At 37.6% G+C, this 27,607-nt stretch overlaps 1 long non-coding RNA gene across 1 annotated transcript in view, besides 2 other annotated features; it reads right to left on the bottom strand.

The window, feature by feature from the left end:
- Positions 1 to 27,607, bottom strand: part of LOC105369890 (uncharacterized) — a 192,148-nt gene that overhangs the window by 133,916 nt on the left and 30,625 nt on the right. The gene's annotated exons all lie outside the window — the stretch shown is intronic.
- Positions 11,913 to 12,453: an enhancer, noted in NCBI's record as "OCT4-NANOG hESC enhancer chr12:90359698-90360238 (GRCh37/hg19 assembly coordinates)". NCBI's record gives its function as "activates a minimal SCP1, AML or CMV promoter by ChIP-STARR-seq in primed H9 embryonic stem cells {active_cell/tissue: H9 hESC(primed)}" and the evidence as "EXISTENCE:reporter gene assay evidence [ECO:0000049][PMID:30033119]".
- Positions 17,914 to 18,143: an enhancer, noted in NCBI's record as "active region_6714". NCBI's record gives its function as "activates an Ori minimal core promoter by ATAC-STARR-seq in GM12878 lymphoblastoid cells {active_cell/tissue: GM12878}" and the evidence as "EXISTENCE:reporter gene assay evidence [ECO:0000049][PMID:35858748]".

The raw sequence follows: 27,607 nt of genomic DNA, 5'->3' as shown, positions 1-27,607 counted from the left end.
GGCTTACAAAACACCCAGCCACAGGATCCCATAGTTCCAATTCTTGATATATTTAGGATTACTTAACATGAATTACAAAGAGAAAATGAGTTATCTATTCAGTAAACAAGAAAAGGTTTTGTCAGCATAGTTACTGAGTAATCATGTAGTGATCTCTGAATCTGGAGCCTTTAAAAATAAGGTAGATTCTTACTTATCATGGCAAGCCAAGAGAATGGATCTGTTAGCAGCCACTCCAATGGGTTTTCATTGCCTCCTCTCTGTATCTTTTATATCATCACTATCAGCTAGAAGACCTTATTGAAATTCATTTGGCTCATGATTCAGCTCATCATAAATAATATAGACTCCTCTCGTATAGCTCACCTCCTCCACATTAATGACACAGAATGAGTACCATTAGGGGATCTTCTTTTATTCAGAAGAAAGGATTTTGATGAATCCATTGCTTACAGGCAGAAGAAAAAAAATAGCAATTCAAAACCACATTTTGAAATTAAACCTTCTGTGGTCTGAACAAGCATGATTGTCAGTTCTTTTATGCGTTTCCAACGTTGCCACAATTAATATTTTAAAAAGGAGCTTCATCAGTGACATATTTAGAAACAGAAATCTTATTCTTTTCCCGGTAGCCACATTCCATTGCTCAGCAAAGTGAAGGAAGCCCCGTGGAAGCAGCTGCAGCCCTGCCAGTGGAAATTGGGGATATGACTGCAAGGGCTTATACTTGAGCCTCTGCAAGTCCTTTCTGCTGCTCACCTCCGGAGAGATGCCCAGGTTGCAGAGGAAATAGGTCTCCTCTCCGCCCCTCCACCAAGCTTATGCCTAGCACCCTCGGGATAACCGCAGTTATTTATAGATAATCCCCTCTTGGAAAGGTCAGATTTTATGATGTGTTTATGACCCTCTCTGGGCAAATATGTTCGCTTGCATTGAATTATCTGGGGCAGGGCAGGGGGGACTAGTTTTAAGCAGATTCAATTAATTTCCACAGCTCTGTGCCTAAAGGAGGTTTGGCTCTGTAGCCAGCACCACAAACTAAGAAGGAGCTGACACTTTAAGGCCCACTTTCACTCCATCTCCTTTTTTCCTGTTTTAGAGATATTTATCTGTCTCCATCCACTGACTTTTATTCACACAAAAAGATCCTGAGATTTGACTCTTTGCTCACCAGTCACTTGCCAAATGTTTACTGAGCAATGAAGAAGTCCAGTGTCACAAATCAGCCAGCGAGTATGGATCAGGCGTGGACTGCAGTTTCCCTTTGGCCAGTCCTTTCTCAGGCTGAGTTGAGAACCAGACTGTGGGACCGACTAATCCTGTATTGCTTCCTAAATGCCACGCCTTTGACTTCAATCTTCATCTCTAGGCAGATGACTTCCACATGTTTATCTCCAGTGCCCATCTCTAGCCCAAGCTCCAGGGCCACATTTCCTACTCATTGCTCAAGGTTTGGGAAGTATCAGAATCTTTATATTTAAAACTAAATCTGCAAATTCACACCCCAAAAAGCAAATCTGCCCACTTTGTTTCTATAAATGGCATCATCATTCCTCTAAGTCATCTAAGCTCAAGAACTTGGAGTCTTCTTTGAATTCTCCTTTAACAGTTTTCCTAACCCTGCTTACCTCCGGCTCAGCTAATGCTTTTGTTTCCCTCCTCTCCCCTCACATTTACCCTCTGTTGTCTGTGTTGTTGCAGGACAGCAGTCAAAGACCTTCCCTTGTGTTTTTGTTCCAGTTCCTCTCCCATCTCCTCCAGGACTTCACTCCATTCATTACCCTCATCTCTTTACATTCTACCTCTCCCCCCAGCTCCCCATTAAACAGAGCTTGGAAGTCTCTATCTTGCTCTGTCATTTACTCTCAGAGCCCCTGCAAATTCACTAAAATTAGAAATAATACCTTCCTCACATGGGAGTTATGAGGATAACCCCAAAGAGCCAATTCCAAGTGCCTGGCTCATTAGCGGCCCTTAAATTCACTCATTCAACACAAATCTTTTTAGTTCCCAAACACTTAGCTAGGCACTAGAAATAATAATCAATAACATTTATGGGCCTTCACTACTTGCCAGCCACTAAGTGCTTTTCACACATTAAATCATTTAATAACCACAACAAATGGTTACAATTGTCATTAATTGTAGAAGGAGTTATAATTATTAGGCCCAGGCATCTTGAAACCAAGACATCAAGAGGGTAAGATCAAAAAGGGGTCAATGGTGGTGATTAGAGTTAATAGTTTTAAGTGTTCTTACCACACACACACAAAAACAGATAAGTATGTAAGGTAATGCATATGTTAATTATCTCAATTTAGCCATTCCACAATATATACATCTTGCAAAACATCATGCTGTATAGGATAAATATATAAAATTCTGTCAATTAAAAATAAATAAGCAAAAAAACTTTTAAAAAAATTTAAACAAACTGATTATTAAACCCAGACAAATCTTAATCACTGCACCATATTTTCTGTAAGAGTGTCACAGTTTCTGGCCTCTCATGTTCTATCGACAAGTAATAAGTGTCCTAATTCAAGGCGTGCTAGGGTGTGATGGGAACATGAAGGAAGGATGAATATTTGCTGAGTCAGCAAAGCTAAGCTTTGAAAAAAACAAATGTTAGTTTCCTTTTCTCTTTTGGACTCTTCCTCATTCAACTGACTCTGATCTTATTGCCAGAGTAACCAAAGTACAGCTTCTGCTCAAACCCCTCAGGTTTACAATGCCTATTAAGTAGTCTAAGCTCCGAAAGTTGGCATTCCTGTCTTCTCTCCACCCGGTCTCCAGATCTCTGTCTTTGCTTCTGCACCCTCCCATCAATCCTTTGTGCTCAAGTCCTCCCTATTCTTCAAAACTCAAATGATTCCTCTTCCTGTAAGCTTTCATTAAACTTTCAACAAAACATCATCCTCTCTCACCCCTGAAATTTCATGACCTCGTATTCAAACTGGTATTAAATACTTTTATGTACACATGTTATCTCTTCTACTGGAGGTGAAGCTCCTTGAGGACAAAGACAGTTTCCTTTCACATCTTTGTGCAAGACACAATGCTAAAACTATTTTAAATGGAGATCCAGAAACTGGGAAAACCTGCAAGATCCTTTTGTCTCCCACATCTCTGCCCTTCCCTCCAACCCAATCATTCACGAAATTCTATTCTCTCTTCCTCCTCAGTAGTTCCTGCCCCAGTGTTAGTTCAAGCCATTATATTCTATTACTTCAACTCATGCACTATTTAAATTGGGAAACTTTTACTGCAAAAGGTCAGATGGTAAACATTTTTGGCTTTGCAGGCCTGTGTTACAACTACAGTCAGCCCTCCATATCCGCAGGTTCTGCATTTGTGGATCCAACAAACCTGGGATAGAAAATATTCTAAAAAATAAAAAAAAACAAGAAGAAATTATTCAAATAAAAAAATACAGTACAGTCATGTGCCACATAATGTTTTGGTCAACAATGGATCGCATATATAATTGTAGTTCCATAAGATTATAATGGAGCTGAAAATTTCCTATCACCTAGTGACATCATAGCCATGTTAACATCATGGCACAACACATTCCTCAGGTGTTTGTGGTGATGCTAGTTGAAACAAAGCTCCTGCACTGCCATATAAAAGTATAGCACATACACTCATTTATGGTACATAATACTTCATAATGATATTAAACAACTATTTTACTGGTTTATGTATTCACTATAATTTTAATCTTTATTTTAGAGTGTATACCTTCTACTTACTTTTTTTAAGTTAACTGTAAAAACAGTCTCAGGAAGGTGCTTCAGGAAGTATTACAGAAGAAGGCATTGTTATCATAGGAGGTGACAGCTCCATGTGTGTTACTGCCCCTAAAGACTTTCTGGTGGGGCAAGACATGAAGGTAGAAGACAGTGGTAATGATGATCCTGACCCTGTGTTGGCCTAAAATAATGTGTGTGTTTGTATTTTAGGTCTGAGCAAAAAAATTTCAAAAGTAAAAATAAATACATAAAAATAGAAAAAACTTTATAGAGTAAGGATATAAGGAAAAATTATTTTTGTACAGCTATCCAATACGTATCCAAAGCTAAGTGTTATTACAAGAGTCAAAAAATTAAAAAAAAATTTTTTTAATGTGTAAAGTTAAAAAGTTATAGTAAGCTAAGGTTAATTTATTATTGAAGAAAGAAAATTTTTTCTATAAATTTAGCATAGCCTAGATGTACAGCATTTATAAAGTCTACAGTAGTGTACAGTGATATCATAGGCCTTCAGATTCTCTCCATTCACTCACTGACTCACCCAGAGAAACTTCCAGTCCTGCAAGCTCCATTTGTAGTTAAGTGTACTACAACATTTTTTTACTTTTTGTACTATACCTTTACTGTACCTTTTCTATGTTTAGATATATTTAGGTACACAATATTTATTGTGTTAAATTGCTATTCAGTACAGTCACATGCAGTACGTACAGGTTCGTAGCCTATGAGCAATAGGCTATACCACACAGCCTAGGTGTGTAGAAAGCTATGCCATCTAGGTTTTTGTGAATACAATTTGTGATGTTCACACAAGAATAAAATAGCTTGTCTCAGAACATATTCATATTGTTAAGTAATGCATGACAGCATAAAAACTATTTACATAGTATTTACATTCTGTTAGATATTATAAGCAATCTAGAGATGAATTTAAAGTATACAGAAGGATGTGCACCCATTATATGCAAATACTATGCCATTTTATACAAGAGACTTGAGCATCTGCAGATTTTGGTATTCGTGTGGGTCTTGGAACCAACTGTACTCAACTCTTTCCCGGTAGTATAAAAGCAGCCACAGAAAACACATAAACAAATGTGTGTTGCTGTGTTCCAATAAAACTTTATTTACAAAAACAGATATTTGTGGGCCAGATTTGGCCCTGGCAGTAGCTTATCAAGCCCTTATTTAAATAGATACCTAATTGGTCCCAGCGCTGGCATTTGAATTCATCATCTAGGCTAAGTCAAAGTGATGTTTCTAACTGCAAATCTGATCATGTTCCCCAAAGACCCATATGAACTGACATTTGCCTTTGTTACAAATCTCATTTCCTTCCTTTCCCTCCCCCACCATCCCACCTCCATTTTCCCTGTATCCATCTGACAAACGCCTACTCATCTTTCTTTTTTTCTTTTTCTTTTTTTTGTTTTTTGTTTGTGTTTTTGAGACGGACTCTTGCTCTGTTGCCCAGGCTGGAGTGCAGGTGTGCAATCTCGGCTCACTGCAACCTCTGCCTCCTGGGTTCAAGCGATTCTCCTGCCTCAGCCTCCCCAGTAGCTGGGCTTAACATGCACCCACCACCACACTCAGCTAATTTTTTGTATTTTTAGTAGAGACGGGGTTTCATCGTGTTAGCCAGGATGGTCTCAATCTCCTGACCTCGTGATCCAGCCACCTTGGCCTCCCAAAGTGCAGGGATTACAGGTGTGAGCCACCAAGCCCAGCTCATCTTTCAAGATCTAGCTCAAAGAGCTCAACTCTTCCAGAAATTCTTCCCTACCCACCACCCCCAAAGCTAGTTACAGACTCTTTTTCTCTATCCTAAACTTAGTGTAAGCTTCTTTTGATTTGAGAGTCTCACAAAATTGAAATTGCAATATTTGTTTTGTTTTTGTTTTTGTTTTTGATACAGTGTCTTGTCATGTTGCCCAGGCTGGAATACAGCAGGGCGATCTTGGCTCACTGCAACCTCCACCTCCGGGGTTCAAGTGATTCTCCTGCCTCAGCCTCCTGAGTAGCTGGGATTACAGGTGCCCACCACCATACCCACTGTTTTTGTTTGTTTGTTTGTTTGTTTTAATTTTTTTAGTGGAGATGAGGTTTCATCATGTTGGGTAGGCTGGTCTCGAACTCCTGAACTCAAGTGATCCACCTGCCTCATTCTCCCAAAGTGCTGGGATTACAGGCATGAGCCACCACACCCAGCCTGAAATTGCAATATTTATTTACATGATAGTCCCACTTACTACATAGGGAACTCTTTGCAAAGAGCAGAGACCATCTCATCTACTTCTATATCCTTCAGTTCCTGGCATATATTGAGCATTTGACAAATGTTTTCCTGCTTGTACAATGGTTGCTCCCAACAGAGAAACACAGCCACTTCCCAAGACCCAAAGACATGCTTGCCTCAGTGCTGGTCAGATAACATCAGGCCAAGAAGTCAGGGAGTGGCTGAAGATAAAAGGCAGTAGCCAAGGATTCTGTTCAGGAAGTAGAGAAGAGGTTCTTTGTGGAATACTCAGAACAGTGTGAGGCAATAATTGCCTTTTCATTCATTTTCACAAAGAATGGAAAATCTCATGTCTTGCCAAGTGGCCTTGCAGATATTTCCTTATCCAGATTACCTACTCAGCAAATTGTGGGTAGGCACTAAAAAAGGCCAGCCTGAATGGGGATGGCAAGCAGATCATGTTTGAGAGGGAGGGGGTGGAGTCAAGGAAAGAACAATGAGATAAAACAGAATGGGAGAAAAGCATTTTGTTCCTATATAAAGGCTGTAATTTTCTCCATGTACATTCATAAAAGGACAAGGAAAAGACAATGAGTCTCTCTCTCTCTCTCTCTCGTGTGTGTGTGTTTGTGTGTGTCTGTGTGTGTGTGTTTGTGTGTGTGTGTGGTAGATCAGTTGGATAAGGGCATGATAGCATGACCTTGGGAGCAAGATCAAGTCTCTTTATGTATGAGATGGATATATCATAATCTGGTCACAGATGTATTCCTCTTTCCTTTGAGAAATGCCTGTGAAGAGAAAAAGAATAGCCAGGGGCAAGATCGGAGGACCCACAGTGAAAACAGTCAAAACCAACTTGTAAACCACAAGCCCACAGCCCCTGAAACAGGTTCATTTGAAGATTTCTATCCATAGAAGTTACATTTTTGGACAGCTTTTCTTTTTTAAGTTATGAATTCTATGTATCTCTAAAATCTAAATGTCAAAACTTAAAATCTAACTCCAACACTGCTCTTAGATTACAGAAAGAAAAAAAAAGTCAGAAAAATAAAAAGTCATGTCTATCTTTGGGTATGCATTTTTTCTTTATGAATTGTTTGGTTTGTAGGGCATGGGATATCCATGTTCTACAGCACCTTCTCTCTGGAGCACTGTGAAGGGCAAGCTCAGCAGATGGCTCATCAGTTTGACCAGGACAGAGAATTGTATGGAGAATTCAAGCCAAAGGAAAGCCTACTCAACAGGCTGACATATCCTGACTGACTTTCCATAGTGGTTAAATTACCCAGAAGACTCTTCAATCTTTCTCCTAAATGCTATAAAATAGTGGTTAAATTACCCAGAAGACTCTTTAATCTCTCTCTTAAATGCTATAAAAACAGAACTCTGTCACCATTTTATCCAGCTTCAAAGGCGAGCTCACTCACTTAAATAAGCAACACTTATTTCTTAATCTCTACTGCAAGCCAGGGAATGTGGTCCAAATTACAGGTAACTGACATACAAAGGACTCTTGGGCATGGCCCATCTTTACTGTTAGATTCCACCAGAAGAGATATAAATCTTGAATGCATTCTTTGAGGATTACTGCAGAATTGAAGAAGCAAGCTTTACATAAAACAAAGTGAGGAAAAGGGAAAGACCAGTACACAAGATTATATAATCATCTATCTAATGGTACTGTGATTAAAAGAAGGTTAGTTATCGGAGCTGATTTTTTTCTTCTGCCCTGATTAATTAACCTTTAAGAGACCTGAAGTTAATTTACATTAACCTCAATGAACTTTTGTTTGCTCATCTGTAAAATGGAGCTGTTTATTTCTGTGTCTCATTCACAAGCTTGAGGAGAGAATCAAACCATAAATATGTATGAAAGAGCACTGAAACCTACAAGATACCTCAAAAATGATACAAATTTGGAAATGTTTATTGTTTTGTTATTACTGATATATTCTAAAGAGCAAATGGTCACGTAAACAAGAAAAGACAGGTGTCTTCTAGCCCTCTAACCTAAGTGATATCAGGAATAAGTTTCTTGTATACTCGGATGGGCAAGTTTGGGCATAAGTATACAACTAGTTCATCCACTACATAAAGGTGACTGGTAAGGTATCTTCCAACTTAGAGATTCCAATAGAATTCCTGAGATCAGTGTTCCCTGAAATATCTTGTTCCCATTGGATGGCCAGTCTACTTGCAAGAATGTTTTTTTAAAAAAATTGATTGGGAATAATTGCCTTTAATAATATCCACCCATCACTTACTGGAATGGAGATGGGAGAACTTATATTACTGAAGCTTAATTGCCTGTGATCTTCTCCTGAAGCATTTTAACTGCCACCTTTAGGCTGAAATTCTAAACTCTTTGGCTTCCATCTCCTACTCTTTCCTAACTCTCTGGTCACTCTTCCTCAGTCTCTTTTCTCTGGTTCCTTTTCCATGAATATTCCTTAATTATTGGTGTTCTTCAAGCTTTGTTTTGGCCTTCTCCCTTCTCACCCTGAATGGTATCATTGGATGACTGTGACTACAGATATGTGATGAATACAACCAGTAGGATGATAACTATCAAATTGTTTATTACCCGCCAAATCATCTCTACTTTGGCCTTGTTTCCAACTGTCCACTGCACACAGGGATCCTACTATCAGGCACTGCCTAAATTTGAACCTTATCTCCTGCCATGGCCTAGACGTAACCTAAGATTCAGATATGAATTATGTTTTAGTGAGAAAGCCTGAATATTAGCTCAAACTAACCCAGATTCAAATCCTAGCTCCACTGTTTACTTGCTGTGCCAAAACAGCCAAATTTTCCATTCCATTTGAACCGCATATTCTTAATCTTTGAATTTTGGGGAGAATTAAATAATTAAATCAATCTAGCTCAGCTCCTAACACAACTTAGTTGTTCAACAAATGTTGGTTCCTTTCTCTTCCTCTCCAAAAATGTTACACTACTTAGATTTTCTTAATCATGCCATGATTTATTTTCTACTTAACTGCGTTATTGCATGCGCTGTTCCCTTAGCCTAGAAGGCCCTCTCTTCACCTCCCCAACCCTCATGCCTGCCAGGTAAACTATTACACAACTTTAAAGAATGCAATTATCAGGAAATATTTCCTCAACAAGACCACACTGCAGTCAGAGCCAGGTACTCCTTCCTCCACGCCTTGGAAGCATTTTATTTTTGTGTCTATCACTTTATATCATAAATGTTTATTTATAGCTGTCTCCCCGACTAAGCTGTGAGCTCATTAAGAGTTCTAAGTAATCCAAATTGAGCAACAGAATGTTATAATTCCGAAGATATTTCAAACCACTGAGTTAATACAAGCAATCTAAATACATAATAATAAATACTATATTAATTAAACTAAATTTTGTAGAGACAAATTATTCAATTTCCATAGTAGGTACTGGAAACAGAAAGTAAACCTAGATATTGTCCCCACCCTCTGGTGTTGAGAGTGAATCTATTGTGTACAAATTTAAATTTTCAAGTGAAATAATATTTTAATCTGTATTTACTTGTTTTTTACAGAAAGTGATGCAAATGTTTCATGAATTTTAAGTTTCTCTTTAGATCCACTATGTTCATCACCAAGACTTGTACTATTTGTGTATGTCATCACATTTTTTAAACAAGTAATTAAAAAGCCAATAAGGAAATTTATTGGATCAAATAAATGAATGTGCAGCGAAGAATAAACATAACAGCTTCTCAAGCAAGTCAATAATATGATTGAGGACGTATACTCTTTTCTTCTCTCCAGTTTTGTGATTGCAAGATGATTGCCAGTGATAAGCCAGGCTACATGTTCCCCTTCCTCACATCTAAAGGGAAATAAAGCGTGCATCTTCCCCAACCACGGAACATAAGTCCTTCCTCAATCTGGTTTGGCCAAAAGGTCTCACATATTCAACCCTGAGCCATTAACTGGCTCCAGAGGAAAGTTATGAAATAATTGGCTTACTTCTGGGTTCTTAAGCAGTTGCTAGCAAGGGGAGTAGGATTCTACGATTGGATACAGCAAATCAAAGTTCACCTGGAAGCTGAGGTCAAAGTACACTAAAGCCACATACTGGGGGAGGGTAGAAAAGATGTTGGGAAGTCAAAGGCAACATCCACGTGCTACACTGTCATAATTAAGTCATAAGAGAAAAGGGTGGTGAATCTTGAGCACACACAGAAGCCCAGGGAAAATTATTGTGTTTTAACAGTTTATTAATGGTTCTTTATTATGGAGAAAAATGAACTGCATTTATATTATTTTACTTGATTAATTCATTTAGTATTTCTTCCTTACAATAAAATACATTTGCAGAGTGAATGTTTGTATCTTCCCTCCAACCAATTCACAGGTTGAAGCTCTGCCCTCTAGCCCTCTAATGTGATAATATTCAGAGGTAGAGTTCTGGGGAGGTAATTAGGTTTAGATGAGGTCATGGAGGTGGGGACCAAGATGGGATCTGTGCCCTGTCGTTTAAGTGATAGATTCTTTTTTTTTTTTTTTTTTTTTTGAGACGGAGTCTCGCTCTGTTGCCCAGGCTGGAGTGCAGTGGCTCGATCGCAGCTCACCACAACCTTTGCCTCCCAGGTTCAAGAGATTCTCCTGCCTCAGCCTCCCGAGTAGCTGGGACTATAAGCATGCACCACCAAGCCTAGCTAATTTTTGTGTTTTTAGTAGAGATGGGGTTTCTCCATGTTGGTCAGGCTGGTCTCAAACTCCTGACCTCGTGATCCACCTGCCTTGGACTCCCAAAGTGCTGGGATTACAGGTGGGAGCCACCATGCCCAGCCTTAAGTGATCAATTCTATGGTATTTTGTTATAGCAGCCAGAACATACTAAGACACAGAATGTGTGAAGTTTTTCTTTTTTTTTTAAACTAAAATTGACTTCGAGTGTTCAACATCACTTTGGCTACAGGGTTATCTGTCTCTCCTCTATTGTCAATACATTGAACATTTAAAAAATAAGATTAATCAGTTGTTTTGATTTCTCAGGAATACTGCTAGTGAAAAGAAAAACTGTACTTTTAAAGAAATTAAGTGAATTAAATGATAGAATCAAAAAAATAAAAATTTACTCCTAACATGGAGAAGTAGCCTTTTCCCTACGCCAACCCACACCCTCCTTTACCTCCTCCACCACCAAATATGCACACACACACACACCCTTCTAGAATTGAGAAGACAATATACCATTAGAAAAAACAAGGTATTGGTTCTCCAAATTAGACTTTTAGCATGGCATTTTACTGAGCAAATGAGTATGCAATTCTCAGTTCTTCCTTGGCAGAAGAGGCATGCAACACCAGGACAGTCTCAGTTACCTGATTTGACACATGTGTATTCCACGGCTGAGGTCCCAGGGTTACAGGGTTGAGGAGTTAGAATGAAGAGGAGATCAAATATCTCAAGAGTTTCTCTTTTCTATTAAATGTCTTTGGAAATTTGCTGTTAAATATAGGCTGTGACCTTCACCCCCATAAAGGTCTCGATAAATGTCCTAGAGTTTATTTTTTAACTTTCATTCTCCCTATGACTGTTTAATTATCATCAATTATCAGTTCTCGTTGTTCCCTTGAACAATCCTTCTGTTTCTTAAAAAGAACTTTTACTGATAAGGTCAAAGGGTGCCACGTTTCAGTTTTCTGGCTGAGGGCTGTCACTCACTTGTTCCATTTTCTGCTGTTCATGTTCTACCTTGATCCAGGCTAGTATGTCAAGGAAGGGGCCATCTCAGCTTTTTCACATCTTGAGGTAACAGAGGCAGACTTAGCTGTGAGATTGATTCTCCAGTGATCTAGCCAGGCTACTACTGCTATAGAAGGAACACAGAGCTGTGTTTTTGAGGAGGAGATTTCAACTATGGACAGTGCTAATCTTTCTTCTCCTTTCGGAAGAAGGAATGTTCCTTTCCACTGTTAATATCACATCAGGTTGGAAAGACTTTCCTGTTCCAAGCCCCCACCTCTTACCTCCAGTGTGCAGATTCATTAATTATAGAATTGAATGTCCTCAGAGAAGGTAATATCAAGCTAAGAAAAGTCTGCCAACGTGTGTCAAAGGACATCACTCTACTTCAACATACAGCCTAGTACTTCACAAAGGCAATACAGGATATACCTTGCAGGAGTTTGTTGTAAAGGCTGAATAAGCTAATTCATGTAAGCACTCAGAACAATGTCTGGCATGAAGTGCTCAGCTATTATTATCATGATAATGATGGTGATTGAGGCAGCCTGGTGTTGCAGAAAGAATGGTGTTCGGAAGAGCAAGAGATTTGGGTTTCAGTCCTGATGCTTCTGCCCACTGTGTGGTATTGGACAAGTCACTCAAGCTCTGAGCCTCAAACTCCTGATCTGAAAAACAAGAATAATTTTACCTCCCATGCAGGTTTCTCAAGGGATGATAGAACCACATGTGATAAAGGTTTTTAGAGCCTTTCATGAGCCATGAAATGTGGTACAAATCATAAGGGTCACGGACTGCAAGCACATGAGGACAGAGACCACATATAGAATCTGGTCAGATATCTATTACAGAATAGGCACTCAACAATATGTGATTCACAGATCGAAGTATCCACAGTAGAATCACCATTATGGCTGTCATTATTTCCTCTCACTCAAATGTGTCCTTCCTTTACTAATATGTTTTCATTTATTCATTCAGGGCTGACATATATCTGCTAATATCGCAAAGGCTGTACCCATTGGTAAACAGTGACAACTCAAGCTTTTCCTTATTTGAACACTTGTTTCATATTTACTACTTGAACACAATACTCATAATGCCATGTGGCACATTTCAAAGCAATTTGAAGTAAACTTTCAAAACAATTTCCCATGTATTCTCTTATCTGATCCTCACTACAACTCTGTCAGGTAGGTATTTTATTATTACTCTTACTTTACAGGTGAGGGAACTGACGAAGAAAAGAAAAGAAAAAAGAAAAACTAAGCCCAACAGCAAAATGGGTCCTGATGGCCTGAAGAATAAAGTTGAAATCATTTCACAGTGTAGCATCACGGTCAAAAACACATTGTAAAACCACATTCCCTGGAATTCAAATTCTAACTCTGCCAGGCACTGAGAGATTAAAAAACTTGCCCAGGGTCTCAGTGCCTTGGTTTCCTTACCTATAATAAGGAGGTAATAATAGCACTTACCTCTAAGGTAGTTGAAAGAATTCAGTCAGTATACAAAAATCATTTAGAAAAGCCAAGCACTAAATGAATGAATATTAGTTATTATCATAATTTAGTCTGACATTCAGTATTGTCGGCAGTCTAAACTGAGCCTATCTTTTCAGATGCTTCTCCTCTGCCTTTGGATATATTCTCTTGTCCAGCCATCCTCATCCACAGAAGACCTAACACAATCATAGATGCTTGAGAAATGTTTGTTGAAAAATAAATGAAGGAGGCCAGGTGCGGTGGCTCACGCCTGTAATCCCAGCACTTTGGGAGGCCGAGGCAGGTGGACCATGAGGTCAGGAGATCGAGACTATCCTGACTAACACAGTGAAACCCCGTCTCTACTAAAAATATAAAAAATTAGCCAGGCGTGATGGCACATGCTTGTAGTCCCAGCTACCTGGGAGGTTGAGGCAGGAGAATCGCTTGAACCCAGGAGGCAGAGGTTGCAGTGAGCCGAGATTGTGCCACTGCACTCCGGTCTGGGCAACAGAGCGAGACTCTGTCTCAAAATAAATAAATAAATAAATAAATAAATAAATAAATAAATAAATAAATGAAAAAAGGCAAGAAGGAAGACAAGCCATGTTACACCTTTCTCACTTTTATGCCCTATTCCCTTCATCAAAGCCACTGCTGGCTTTTTAGTTTCTTCAAAGAGTGTATAGTATAATGACTTTTATAGTCAGCAAATCCAAGATGTTTTTTTGTGTCTGGTCTGACTTGCTTTTTCTGAATTACTTCTGCTTATCTATATATTGCCATCATAAAGGTTTCTTTTCCCCATCATAAACCACCTTTGAATATTTTGCAAGATAGTTTGTATACATTGCAATATGATGAGATGCCATTAAATTTATTTAATTTTTATTCTTGGTATATATCTATAAACAGAAATTATAGCACTGAAAGTATTTTTAGAAGTTTTCAAGCCTAGAAAAGAATTGCATTCCATCTCCCTGCAGGGTTGAGGGTGATTGTGCTTCTCAGCACTGAAAAACAAGGGCGGAAGAATAAAATTCCTGAACACTGTAATTTGCCTACTCCTTCTGCCAATTTTTTTTAATTTATAGCCTTGCAAAAACTGATTTTGATCAGATCCTTTAAGAAAACATTTATAAAATTTTCATTATTATCTCTTCTTCCTTAGTATAATCCCTGCCCTTTATGTAATACAGAACCAGTATGTCAATAAATAGTGTTATTAGTGTTTCAAAGTAAGATGAATGAGTATTCGATATTTTTGTACAGTGATTTTTAATAGCATGCTTGTATGTTTAACAAATGTTGTGTTTATAGATACAAAACCTGACTATCCATTTGAATTTTTAAATATTTGTATTCGGACTATCAGTGAGAAGCTTATGTTACCGCACTGTTTTCATAGTATCTCAGACCCAGGCCTAGGTTTTGGTTTGTGCCTCTGTTTTAGTTGGATATTACATTACCCCAGGAAGAAAATGTCTCTGTAGGTAGAAAGAAAGGGAGGAATTTCTATGTTTTATTCATTTCCTCTCCCATATATGAGATGGCATTAGTTTCTACTTTACTACCTCAAACAAATTTGGGTACATGCACAATACTCAAGACAGCATCCTAGGAATTAGTTGAAGGAAATCAATATAAAGTTTTTTTTTTCTTTTTTGGCGGGGAGCAGGGAGAGCTAGTATTTCTTATACCACAGCTCAGTAAAGTAAATATTCTTGCCCCAAGACTTGGACTTAAGACTTAAATCATAGTCACTATGTTCCCATTATTTCTAATTCTAATATATTTTATTTTATGGTTATTTTTCATACTTTTCAAGCCAAGCCCCAAGACTGGAGTCTTACTACCATCAAAAACATGGGAGTTTTGCCCACAGTAAAATTTTCAGCAAGGGGGGAATAATTTTTTTTTCTTTTTCCCTACTGTCTATGCTTTTTTTTTCATTCCTAAACCAAAATTTCAATGATAGAGCTACCCAATATTTTGTGCCTAGCTATTTTCCAAAATGGGACATATTTGATCCTATAAAAAGACATTCTATTTATTCAAAGTGCTTATTTTAAATGTTCCTTCATTCAAGGTGGTATTTTTCTCAGGCATCCTACAGAGAAATTAAGTAAAATTTAATCATGTTCCTATGGCAAAGGAGAAATTCTCCGCTGTTGGCAGAATTGAAATTGTGAGTGTAAAATCACTATTGTATGATGATTGGTGATTCCATTGTTCTCCAGTAGAGGGGTGGAAAAGTTCTTTTTCATAGTCACTTCGTTTATTGACTAGTTAACACAGTCATAAAATCCTTTGGCAAGGAACTGATTTTCTTCCTTTAAAAGTAATCAAGAATCTATGGTTTTAAGTGGGTAAGAGGGGAGGAGAAAGGGTCACTTCCTGGAGGCCTGTCTGGTTAAACTGGTTAGGCAGTCTAATTTTTCCAACAGTAACCAGAGTGTGAAGGTAATGAGGTATCATGGTTCAACGGTTCACGCCCATGGCAGAGAGAGTTTGGACTTTTTCTCATAAGCTCTGTGCATTATTTGCAGGATACATTCAGTCATCTGAATTCAATTGGAAGTTCAGGTCCCAAGTGTGGGAACTATCCTTATATATGAGGTGGGAGGTTTAAATGGAATTTTTCTAAAAAGTCAGTTTAAAATTGAATGTAATTTTTAATTTAAATAATATTTATCATCCCCAGAAGTGTAGCAGCTTCCTAAATTACAAAACAGAAGAATCACACTAAGAAACTCAAAGAGATCACATCACAAATTAAAAAACAAAAACAAACAAACAAAAAGAACCTCAAGAACAGAGACTCTTGAGTCTTGAGTTGAGAGCCACCTTTACAGGGCAGGTAAATGGCTACTGGAAGACAACAGAGCTAGAATTTCCACTCTTCCTTTCCATTAGTAGGTGCCAGTCTCCCATATACTCCTAACACAGACAATATGTGTAAAGGCTCATTCTTATGAGTTTTTAGTGTGTAACGGAGTGTTTTATTGTCTCATTCTTGTCAGTTCTTAGTGTGTAACAGAGGTAGCCTGTCTCTTCTGCCCACAGATCTCTCAAGGTGTACAAAAGTGCCCCATTTCCCCCCCATCCCACCCATATTTAAGATAAACAAGCTCCTTCTATAGCCCTTCGGGGGTCTACTTGTCATTAAGTGCTCTCTCCCCAGTGCTACTGGAGTTTGTCATCCAGGGTATGATGGTTCACAGGGGGCTTCCAGAAACCCAGATCAGAGTAGGATTCTGCTGTTATGTTGGGACAGCCAGAACTACTAATAGGTCTCCAAGAAGGGGTATAAAGATGGATTTTCTAATCAAGTTGCTCTAGGCATTCATAAGAGGACCTTCGATGCAGCCCTTTTCTGGAGTCAGTGATCCTAGAAACTCTGAAACTACTGACGATATCAGAATTAACTTAGGGATAGGACTCAAGTATTAGAAGTGTCCCACTACCCGAGCTCTGCCCGTCTTTCCCTTCTCTCCCCAACCCCTCCCCCTCTTTTCAATAACAACAAAAAAACAAAATTGACAAAAACTTTCAATTCTCCTCAGAATCCAGCTCCTCTCTTTCATTCCAACACAAAAGAGATCATGCTATTTCTCATCACCAATATTAGAACTTAAGGGCCCCTCAGGATGTACCCAGGCCATAGAACATCGAAGACCTGTACATTCTTTAGAAGAGCAAGAAGGATGCATGCCATTTCTTTTGGCCAATAACTCCCTTTTCATCTACCTCCTTTGATGCAAGATACTCAGGGAGACTTCTTGGTACGGAAATGAAAACAAAACTCTAGTTAAGGTCTCAGCAAGTCACCCTCCTAGCTTAAGTTTTTGAGAAGATGCATGTGACAGGGAAGGAGAGTTGCATCTGAAGAGAATCAAAATCCCCTCTTCCTTCAAAAAGGAAGAAAGGATAAAAGAAAGTGGAGAGGATAGATGGAGGGAGAAAGGGAAAGAAAAAGAGAAAGGAAGACAGAGAGGTAGAAAAAAGAAAAGAAAAAAGAAAGAAAAAAAGAAAAATAAAGAAGGGCTCTCAAGGGAGGAAAAAAGGAAAAGTGAAAAGAAGAATAAAATTTTAATTATGTGACAAAATATTTGAAAAAGCAACTCTCTAAGTTATTGACATTTTTATAGTGGTGATGTGATGGACAAGGCTTGTCATAAAACGTTAAGGTGACACTATAAGTTTCAAAATAATAAAAGGGTGCTCTTGCTGAAGCATGTGATAAGCCCCATACCCATGAGCTGTAAAAGAGTACATTAAACCTGGTCACCCTGCCCAGGCATTATAGGATTGCACACCCAGGACTGTTCTAGTGATGACGAGGTTGTTGAAACTCTGCCAGCTGACTTTTGAACATGGTGCCTGTGTAACCTAATTCCTTATTCATTAAACAGTCTGCTCCCTCACAAGCAGTTTGTGTGCCCATTATCTTGATGGGACCCATGCAGGATTGCCTCTGTCTTCACACTTGAGTTTGCAAGATCCCTGATGACAACATGGATTCCTACCACACAAGAAAACAAAGCAAATTTATTGAACTCCCAATTGAAAACAGTAGCAAATCAAGCTTGCTTAACCAAAATATTTCTCATAGAAGATTAGGTTATCATTTTTAGGGTGATGCTCATGAATATTAATTTCTCAACAAGGACTGACTAGGAATCCCCCAGTTCCCTAATGGAAATTAGCAATTCTCCAAACCAGCAGAAACTTATGTGGTCAACCATTTCAGTTTGCCAGGGACTAAGGGATCACCTAGGATGTGGGACTTTTAGTACTAAAACTGGGGAAGTCCCAGGCAAACCAGACAAGCTGGTCACCCCTAGGGAAACTCCCATTACTCACCATTCTCCTTTCGGCTTCCTCAGACTTGCAGCTCACAGGCTATCCTCAGAGTTCTCTAGGACTGAGCTTCTACTTTGATTTTCACAAACATCTATTTATGTAACCTGCCCCTCCACTGGACACAAGGGCGGAGAGATGTCTCAATCATTTTTATGTTCCAACCTCTGGCTTAGAAGAGCTTGCTGAACTGAGATAGCCAAACAACTGAGTTGATCTTCTGCTGAATGTCAACTGAATGGGGACTGTGATACCCTCAGGTAAGAACTGTATTTTCTGCACAGTGTACACACTCCCTGCCTCCCTAAATTAAACTTAGCTTGGAAAGGACTAGAATCTCTTTTAAAGCTTCACTTTCTCACATTAAACTATGTGGTTTTCTGAAGACTCTTTCATACACTGGCATAGAATGCAGTTCAGGAGTCAGACTAACCTAGATTCAAACCCAGGCTCCACAATTCACCATCTCTGTGACCTTAAACAAGTCATCTAACATCTCTGTACATTACTTTCCTCACATATGTCTTTCATCGTGCTGTTGGGAAGACCAAATGAGACACCTATATGTAGACTGCTTAGCTCTTAGCTTTATGGTAAGAACCAACATATGGTAGTTATCATTATTCTACTTGGAGTTTTCTTTCTAAGCACCAAGGGAGCAAAGATGAGACTAGTTGGAAAACAATACGTTTAATAAGATATCCCAAGTTTTTTTTTTTAAGCCCGGAGGCTCTACCATCATGTATTTTTTTTATTTTTTACACCAAACTTGCACTTTTATAATTATGATAATCTGTCTATGCCTATAATGAGCACAGTACTATAACCTAAGGCAAAAATCACCAGCAACTCTACTATGTACACGGCAGGGAAGGGGGAAAGCCTCATCTCCCCACCCTACCCCCCATTTTATTACTTAAACTTCCCATTATGTGAGCCATTTATTCAATTTTTACTGAACTTTTCACAAACCAGAAAGCCACTGGAGTTGGTCCAACCACTATAAAATTTTACTGCTCTTTGTTATTGCATAATAATTCCTAAGAGTTAACATTTTACTTTTCTTCTAAAATAAGGGATTTGCTTAAAGCAAGAAATCTCATTATTACTACTAATGATACTAAACCCAGTACATTATTGCTCTACTAAGAACTGATAAATTATCAGAACAAAGTTTAAAGTTTGTTCTTTATATTATAAGAGAAAATATTATATTTTCTCTTTCTCCTTCCCCTTCTCTTCTTCCTCCTCTTTCTCCTTATTTCTAATTACATATTTATGTTTATGTACCCAAGGAGTATGTCATTCTCTGAGGATGCAAATTGAAACAACACAGAAATAATACTTATTCAATCATAAGTGCTTAACGTGCTTTATAATGATGTCTCTTTCAAAATGCTCCGTTTAAGTCTGTTTATGAGATGCTGCCACAATAGGTATTTCTGATAAAATACCGCATATACATTCCCCAGAACAACACATCCTGCAAAAGCATGCACTAAAAATAATGCAGCTTATATAAAATAAAGAGTTAAGAGAAAACCACTCAACACTCATGCAATTTTGAGAATTCTGAGAAGGTGGTGGTAATGGTATAGTTTTTGAAGCCCCCTAAATAAATCTTTCTTCAAAATAAAAAGCAATTAAGATCCCAAAACATATACAACAAAATCAGATGACAAGATATCCTCTGAATTCCAAAATCCAAACAGGAGAAGACAAAATACCATATATATTCACAATCTTATGACAAAATGAAGTTTGTAAGAAATATATATATAGTATATAATTATATTTGCTGTGACAATATACCTATATTACAACTATAAAAATGGCAGAATGGGGACGCTATCAGAAAAGTAGAATAATCTTGATGATTATCTTATAGTTACTAAAATAAATCCAATTATTTTAATACTGATTAAATTGATGCAGAATACTAGCTAATATCAATATATCTCATAGAATGGACTCAATAGACAACAAAGGCAGGGGCAGAACAGGAATGGGTAATTTTTTTAATGTTAGCATAAAAATTAAAACAAAAGAGCAAGCCTTTATTAATACCAAAAATATATACTTTAAAAATAGAAGAAACAAATAAAATGAACCACCTAGAGAAAGACACATTCTTCAGTGAAAAAGGGAGAGCAGAGAAAATTGTGTAGTATGTGCAATATTTTAATTTAATTGTTTCTGACAACCTTGAGAACCAGGATTCTCAGGAACCAAAAAAAAAAGAAGACATAAGTGAAAGATAGAAGAAGTTAAATTTAAAAAACTTGTGCGCCTAAATTTGAACTGGAAGTGTCAGTAGGAATCATAATATAGCTTATCTTTTTAAAAGATATATTTCTTAAAATATGTATATTATGTGTATATGTATATATACATAAATGCATACACATACATACATACATGATATACATAGATCCATTAGCATTCCTATGTCTGGATTATAATTTCTAATACCATTCTCGAAAAACTAAAAGGACTGGGATAGAAAATATACAAGATGAGTCTGCAGCATCTTGTCAAACCGGATAGCAAGGAAACTATCATATACTACAAGGTTCATATCAGCAGGATGCAAGAGTCAACTTGAAGAAACTCCTGTTCCATTTCACAAAAACTGGGACAATTTGAGCGTTAATAATTTTACAAAAGGCAAAAAGTTTAACAAAAAATATGTTTGAATTCATGGGGCATAATTATACTTACAAAAACATATACTTGGTGACCACTGGGTAAAAAAAGGCAAAAAATAAAAAAAAAATCAAGCCTTTATCCAGGATTCCATATGTGAATTGAATTACTATATAATCAATAAGGAAAATTTCACTTATAAAAATGTTTCAGGTAATAAGTGAAGAAGAAATCATAGAATTAGAATATCACAATTTTGCAAATTGTAGTGAATTAATGGTTCATTAATTGAACATCAGTAGCTGCTGAGATCACCAAAAGAGAGTCAACTAAACATCTCATGCCTGATGATAGAAAAAGCACAGAATCAGGCCAGGTGCAGTGGTTCATGCCAGTAATCCCAGCACTTTGGGAGGCAGTGGCAGGGGATCACTTGAGGCCAGGAGTTCAAGACCAGCCTGGACAACGTAGCAAGATCGTGTCTATATTAAAAAATTAAAAATTAGCTTAGTGTGGTGGTGAGAACCTGTAATCCCAGTTACTCAGGAGACAGGGGCAAGAGGATCCCTTGAGTTCAGGAGTTCAAGGCTACAGTGAGCTATGATTGCACCATTGCATTCCAGTCTAGGCAACAGAGAGAGACCTTGTTTTGGAAAGTAGAAAGAAAAGGAAAGGGAAAGAAAGGGAAAGGAAAAGGGAAGGAGGAGAGGAGAGGAGAGGAGAGGAGAGGAAGGAAGGAAGTTCATAGCATCACTATGAAGTAGTCACATCAAAAAAAAGTATCTAACCTGAATTTAATCAAGCTCATATATGCAACTACCAACTTGCAAGAAAGATGTAATGCTTGTTATACGAAAGATGTAGAAACTTGTTAATATACTCTGCAGGCATACAATCAGCACAATCAAGACTGTGGGAAACATTGCAAGACAAATAACCCAGTTTGTTCTACAAAGAAACCAGAAGGGGTAAAAAGGATGGAGAGAGAATCTACAATTTAGTAAACATTTAAAAGACATATCAACCAATCACACTGTGTGGCTTTGGCTTCCATTTTAATTTTTAGAAAAAGAATCATAAAATAAATTATGGCATTGATAATATAATCGAAAACTTGAACACTTACTGGATATGAATATTTTATGATATTAAGGAATTATTTTAATTTCTGGCTTTGATGATGGTATTGTGATTATAATAACAACAAGCCTTTATCTTTTAAAGATACATACTTAATACTTTATTTTATGAATAAAATCATATCATGTCCAGGACTTGCTTCAAAATAATATGGGAGGTGAAGTAGATAGGGAATTAGATGAAAATTTATTGTCTATGCGTGGATAATTGTTGACCCCAGGTGATAAGTAATGGCAGTCAATTATACAATTCTACCAACTTTTATATAAGTTTAAAATTTTTCACAATGAAAGGTTTTATTTTTAAAATGAGGTACACCTTGATACATATTATCTAGGTATACATGTTCCAAGTTCCAGGGACTACAAATACCTGAAAATATAACATAGTATAAAATTATTTATCACAATATTATTCACCCTTGCGAAAAACACAGAAATCTCTGCCAAATTGTGTGATATTATCAGTTTAAAAGAAACAGAACCATACAAAGTAATGTTTCTATAGTTGGTTTCTGATATTATCAGTTTAAAAGAAAAAGAACCATACAAAGTAGTGTTTCTATAGTTGGTCTCTGAACTTCAGGAGAAAAAAAAAGTGGTTTTATACATTAATAGCTGTGCCTGATAGACTCACCTCATCTTTTTGGGGGCAATCTGTCCTGGAAAGATAATTTAGCAAATAACTCCAGAATGTATATAATGGGCCGTTCCCACCTGTATCCTCTTAAAGGATGTGGATTATGTTTCTGCACCTTTTACCCTAGAGTTTCCATGACCTTAAGCTTCTTTGGGAAAACTATGGCAATTTAGTCTCTGTGGCTGAGGAGACTGCTTCAACAATGGAACTGGCATCAGCAAGGTTTCCATGACATCTGAGTGAGAACTTAAGGGCAGTGGGTGGTGTTTGTGCCAGGCCAGATGGGTACTCTCAGGAAGCCTCATGGTGTCCCTGCTGCCTGTGTGCCAAGAACTGGGGGAAGGTAATGCAACAAATGCCCTGAGATAGAGCCACAGGCAGAAAGCTCAGCAGAGTCCCTGGTCTGCTCCTATCAGCCAGGGAGATGCTGAGAGCCCAGAAACACTTTCCAAAGGTCTCTAAAACATGTGTCCGTATATATAAAGCATTTCTATAAGGAGAATCTCTTTTAACAGGCATATTTTCTTAATACTGATTCTATTTCCATAGCTTAATTTACAATTCAGATTCTAGAGGGGAAATAAAATTCTGTTTTCTGTATTTGAGTTTGTAGACCAGAAAAATGCATAGAATATTTGGCTTATTCTGTATGTGGTTTTTATGGCAAAACATCTCAATAAAACACTGCCAGGGTTGCATTGCCAGTAGCATTGTTCCAAGGCACTTTTCTCATCATCATCATCATCATCACCATTATCATCATCATCTTAATTGCTATTCACTTAGCACTAACTACATGCTAGGCCAACATCTATTGTTTCTAGGGAGATATATTCTTCCACAGTGTTTCCACTTCCACTTCTTTGCAGGGAAAAATGGCATTGTGGACAATAAATAAATGAAAGTAAAATTATACTATTACCTCGAATACATTACTTAAATTTAAAAATAAATTTTTCTCAGGATTTAGTACCATAATGCTTACAAGTTATTTGGAAACTAATGCATCTCACTGTATTGTAATTAATGTTTGCAGGTCTGTCATTTGCCTCCATGATTTTGTACTTCAGTAAGGATAGGGACCATGTCTATCTAACACAGACTTGTAGACTCAGAATCTAGCACATAGCAGGGGCTCAATTCATATTTTTCAAATGAGTAAATAATTAAATAAATTAATAAAAGAGCAAATAGAGCTCACAACTGATCACATACAAATTGCACCAAGATATGATGTTCAGTTATTCTATAATACTAGAAATAGTTTACTTATTGTCTCATTTAATCCTTATGAAAACTCCTACAAGGAAGATACTACTATTTCTACATTACAGATAAGGAAATTAGGTCTCAGAGGGCCTATGAGACTGACCCAAGGTCACGTAACGAAATAGTAAAGAGTGAGTTCATCAAGGCTGACAGATTCCAGAACCCTTGGTCTTTCCACTGCCCCAGACCCCTTCCTTTGAGTGTTAGGCTGTCTCCCTAAGGGTGAAGAAAACTGGAGACTGGTAAAAGATTCCCACATTTACGAATTGGATAAGGTGACCTCACAGCCACATCCCAGAGCAAGGACACTGTCCCCTTAAGCAGAGCAACTGCCATCAAAGTCTAATTTTAAGAAAAATGTTAAAATGTGTTCACATTCACACACATTTGCCTGTGTGTGGCTTTGGGCTGTGCTCTTTATTTTGTTCTAAACAGAACTTTTTTTCTCTCTTTTTAGTCACATTTCTGGAATAACAGAACATTGTGTTCCGTATCAAATCTCATCACAGCTGCACATTAAAAAGTGTACCTCAAAGTTTCTTATTTAAAATATAAAAATGCAAGATTATAATAAGATTAAATATTTCTTTATTATGCCCTTGAGTGGGGAGAAACAGTTTATTTATTTCCTCCTTCTTCTCCTAGGGCTTGATAGTAACCCTGTCCTCTTTTAAGTTCATGGCTTTTCTGGAATTTCAAATTGTCCACAGAGCCAACCTCAGGATTATCTATCTTTCATAGGATATATTTGGCAAAAATAGACTTATTTTCAGTGGGATGAAGGGTAAAGGAAAGAAATGGTAATGATTTAGTCCCTTGTTAGTGTGGTATTTTTTTAAAAGCAACTTGCTTTTTACCAGTGATTAATATTTCCAAGATATTTTTGTTCAAGAAATATTTTTTAGGCTTTAAAGGCAGATACAATATCACAAAAATATCCAGAATTCATTGTTCTCATCAGCTGGTAAATTATTTGTTACCTACACCTAAAACAATCAAACTGGTGCCCCTAAAGATGCAAAAATAATCCTGGATTCAAAAACTAGAAATTAAAAACCAAATACCCATTTGTTCTGAAGTATATGAGTATCTTTAAACACTTTAATTGGAAAAAGCTTCTATTCACAAACAGAAGTTATCACCAAAATTTTATTTTCAATCAGATAAAGATATATTTTTAAAGGTTTATTTACAATTGAGTAGATGTTTGTCCCTGATTGAAGGATGAGGAAAGGGTTTCTGTACATAACAAACATAATGTTATTCCTTTTCTTTATTTTTTAATGAATGAAACAGCCTCAGAATTATACTTTGGCTATCAAATATATTCTAACATTTATTCTATAGCAGTTGGACAGTTAAATGAGCATACAAAAGTACCAGAATGTTACCAAAAATGTTCCTCTTATCAACTCCTCCATAAACTATCATCATCAACTGGTAATCATATTATTTTCTAATTATTAAACTTGTACAGTAATCAAAGGACCCCTTTGGGTATTTACATGCTCTATCTTTATTCCTCTTTCTTTTATAATCTTCTTTCTATCTCTAGCCCTCCGTGAAGCACTTTATCAGATAATAAGAAAATCACTCTCCCACATAAAATAATTATTTTTAAAAACTATGGCAAAGTTAATGATCCTTATTTGCTCTGTCAGATCCCTTACACTAGAACTATATTTTGTCTGTTTTGCACAGTACTTTTGCCAAGCACACAGGGGAGTTGAAGAGACAGTAGTTGATGGTAATTATCATGCACCCTTTGTTTGTTCACAAGGGACATTTGCTGAAGATTAAAAATAAATTCACAACTAATTGACTGTCAGCCATAAGCTATACTGCTGGGACTTCCAAACTACCAACTGAAAAGAAAACAACTGAGCAAATCTTGCCAAGGCCCAACTCAAAGATTAAAAACAGCCTCCCTATTTAACTTGCCTACAGCACAACTCATCAGATGAAAGGTAACTTCAGTAGTTCTGCAATTCCCTTCCCCAAAGAGCCCACTTTGGGAAATAAACCTTTAATTACAAATGCTATACGGCCGGGCGCGGTGGCTCACGCCTGTAATCCCAGCACTTTGGGAGGCCGAGGCGGGCGGATCACGAGGTCAGGAGATCGAGACCATCCCGGCTAAAAACGGTGAAACCCCGTCTCTACTAAAAATACAAAAAATTAGCCGGGCGTAGTGGCGGGCGCCTGTAGTCCCAGCTACTTGGGAGGCTGAGGCAGGAGAATGGCGTGAACCCGGGAGGTGGAGCTTGCAATGACCCGAGATCCCGCCACTGCACTCCAGCCTGGGCAACAGAGCGAGACTCCGTCTCAAAAAAAAAAAAAAAAAAAAAAAAAAAAATGCTATAACTGGGCCTGCTAAGCTGCCCCTTTCAAGCCACCAATGAGCAGTTATCTACTGAGCACTACCTATTTGCCTGGTACTTGTAGACTCTGAGAATACAATGATAAATAAGATATTCACAACTCTTTCCTCTGTGGTATTCAACCCCAGCAAGGAAGGAGTATAGTTAGAAACTTTACTTAGTGAAAGAAAGATGAGGAAGACAGTAATGACGCATTCCAATGGCAAACACACCTCTACTTCTTAGTTTTATTTCTTTGTCACACCTACCTCAAGTTGAAGGCAGCAATCTTTATAGTTCTATACCTCATGCATGAAAGACAATCCAGGAAACCTTAAAAATTGTCTGTCCCAATGAACCATGACCCACAATGGTATAAGAACATCGACAAAATATGAACAACAATGGTAAAATATAATCAACTCACTAATGAGTCATGTGCATGATCCGGAGGCACAGGTAAGACAAGACTGGTTTATTTAAGGGCTTAGTTCTCCTTTGGAAATGGAGCTAATCTTGTCAGAATAGCAGTTGAGCTATTCCTCTCTCCTTTCCCTATCCATCTTTCCCCCTCCCAGATCTTCTCTCTTTTTTTTCCCCCTTTGGCTTCCTATCTGCATCTACCTTCTTTCTTTCACAAAGCCTGACTCCATAGATGATGGTTGTATGATAGGCATTGTTAATGTCCACCAATTTCTAATTATTTACTTTTGGTTAGAAAGGAGATTACATTTCCATGTTCCCTTGAAGTTAGATGCTGCCATGTGACTCATTTTGCCCAAAGGCATGTGAATGACACTCTGGACTAAGGCTTCTATGGCTTGTGTTTGACTTGCCAGCTCTTTCTCATCCCCTGCTGGGGTGAACCCTGAAGCCTGACGTCATTAGATGGCAGTGTCATAAAATGACAGAGTCTCCTTCAGCCTTACTCCGTATGTGACAGTGATAAGCAAAGCTCTCCCTGACACCATGAATGAGAAATAACCTGAAATTTTAGAGTTGTTATCACAGGATAACCTACACTATTCTGACACAAGTAAAAGAAGAAAGATACTAACCAGCACATGCAGTCATAAGGATGTTGGCAACAGGATTCATTTAGCACACATTTACTGAATTGGCATGTAAGTGAAAGAATCCAACATGAGAAAATAGAGAAAAGATAAAGTTGTTGCCCTCAAAGAGAGGGCAAAAAAAGAAAAAAAATTGACAAATGTAAAAACAATTATGGTAGAATTTTACATATATATTTTTTAAATCAGTCAAATATGGTAAGGAAAAGTTTGGGAAATCTTTGTCTAAAGAGCGTGCAGCTGGAAGCTAGGAGTCCAGTCCTGCCATGTTTTTGTAAGTCATTACCATTGTTATCATCATCAACCTATTTATTATTACAGAGCATGTGTGACTTCAGGCAAGACACTAAACTCTTTTTTTGCATCTTTAAAGTAGAGGGAAAATACTATTTCTCTTTTTTAGATTACTGAAATGTGATTAATACCCAAGAGGATAGAAT

Source organism: Homo sapiens, chromosome 12 (assembly GCF_000001405.40).
Source record: "Homo sapiens chromosome 12, GRCh38.p14 Primary Assembly".
In the NCBI taxonomy this organism is placed as follows: Eukaryota; Metazoa; Chordata; class Mammalia; order Primates; family Hominidae; genus Homo; species Homo sapiens.
This window is presented reverse-complemented; position numbering and strand designations above follow the sequence as displayed.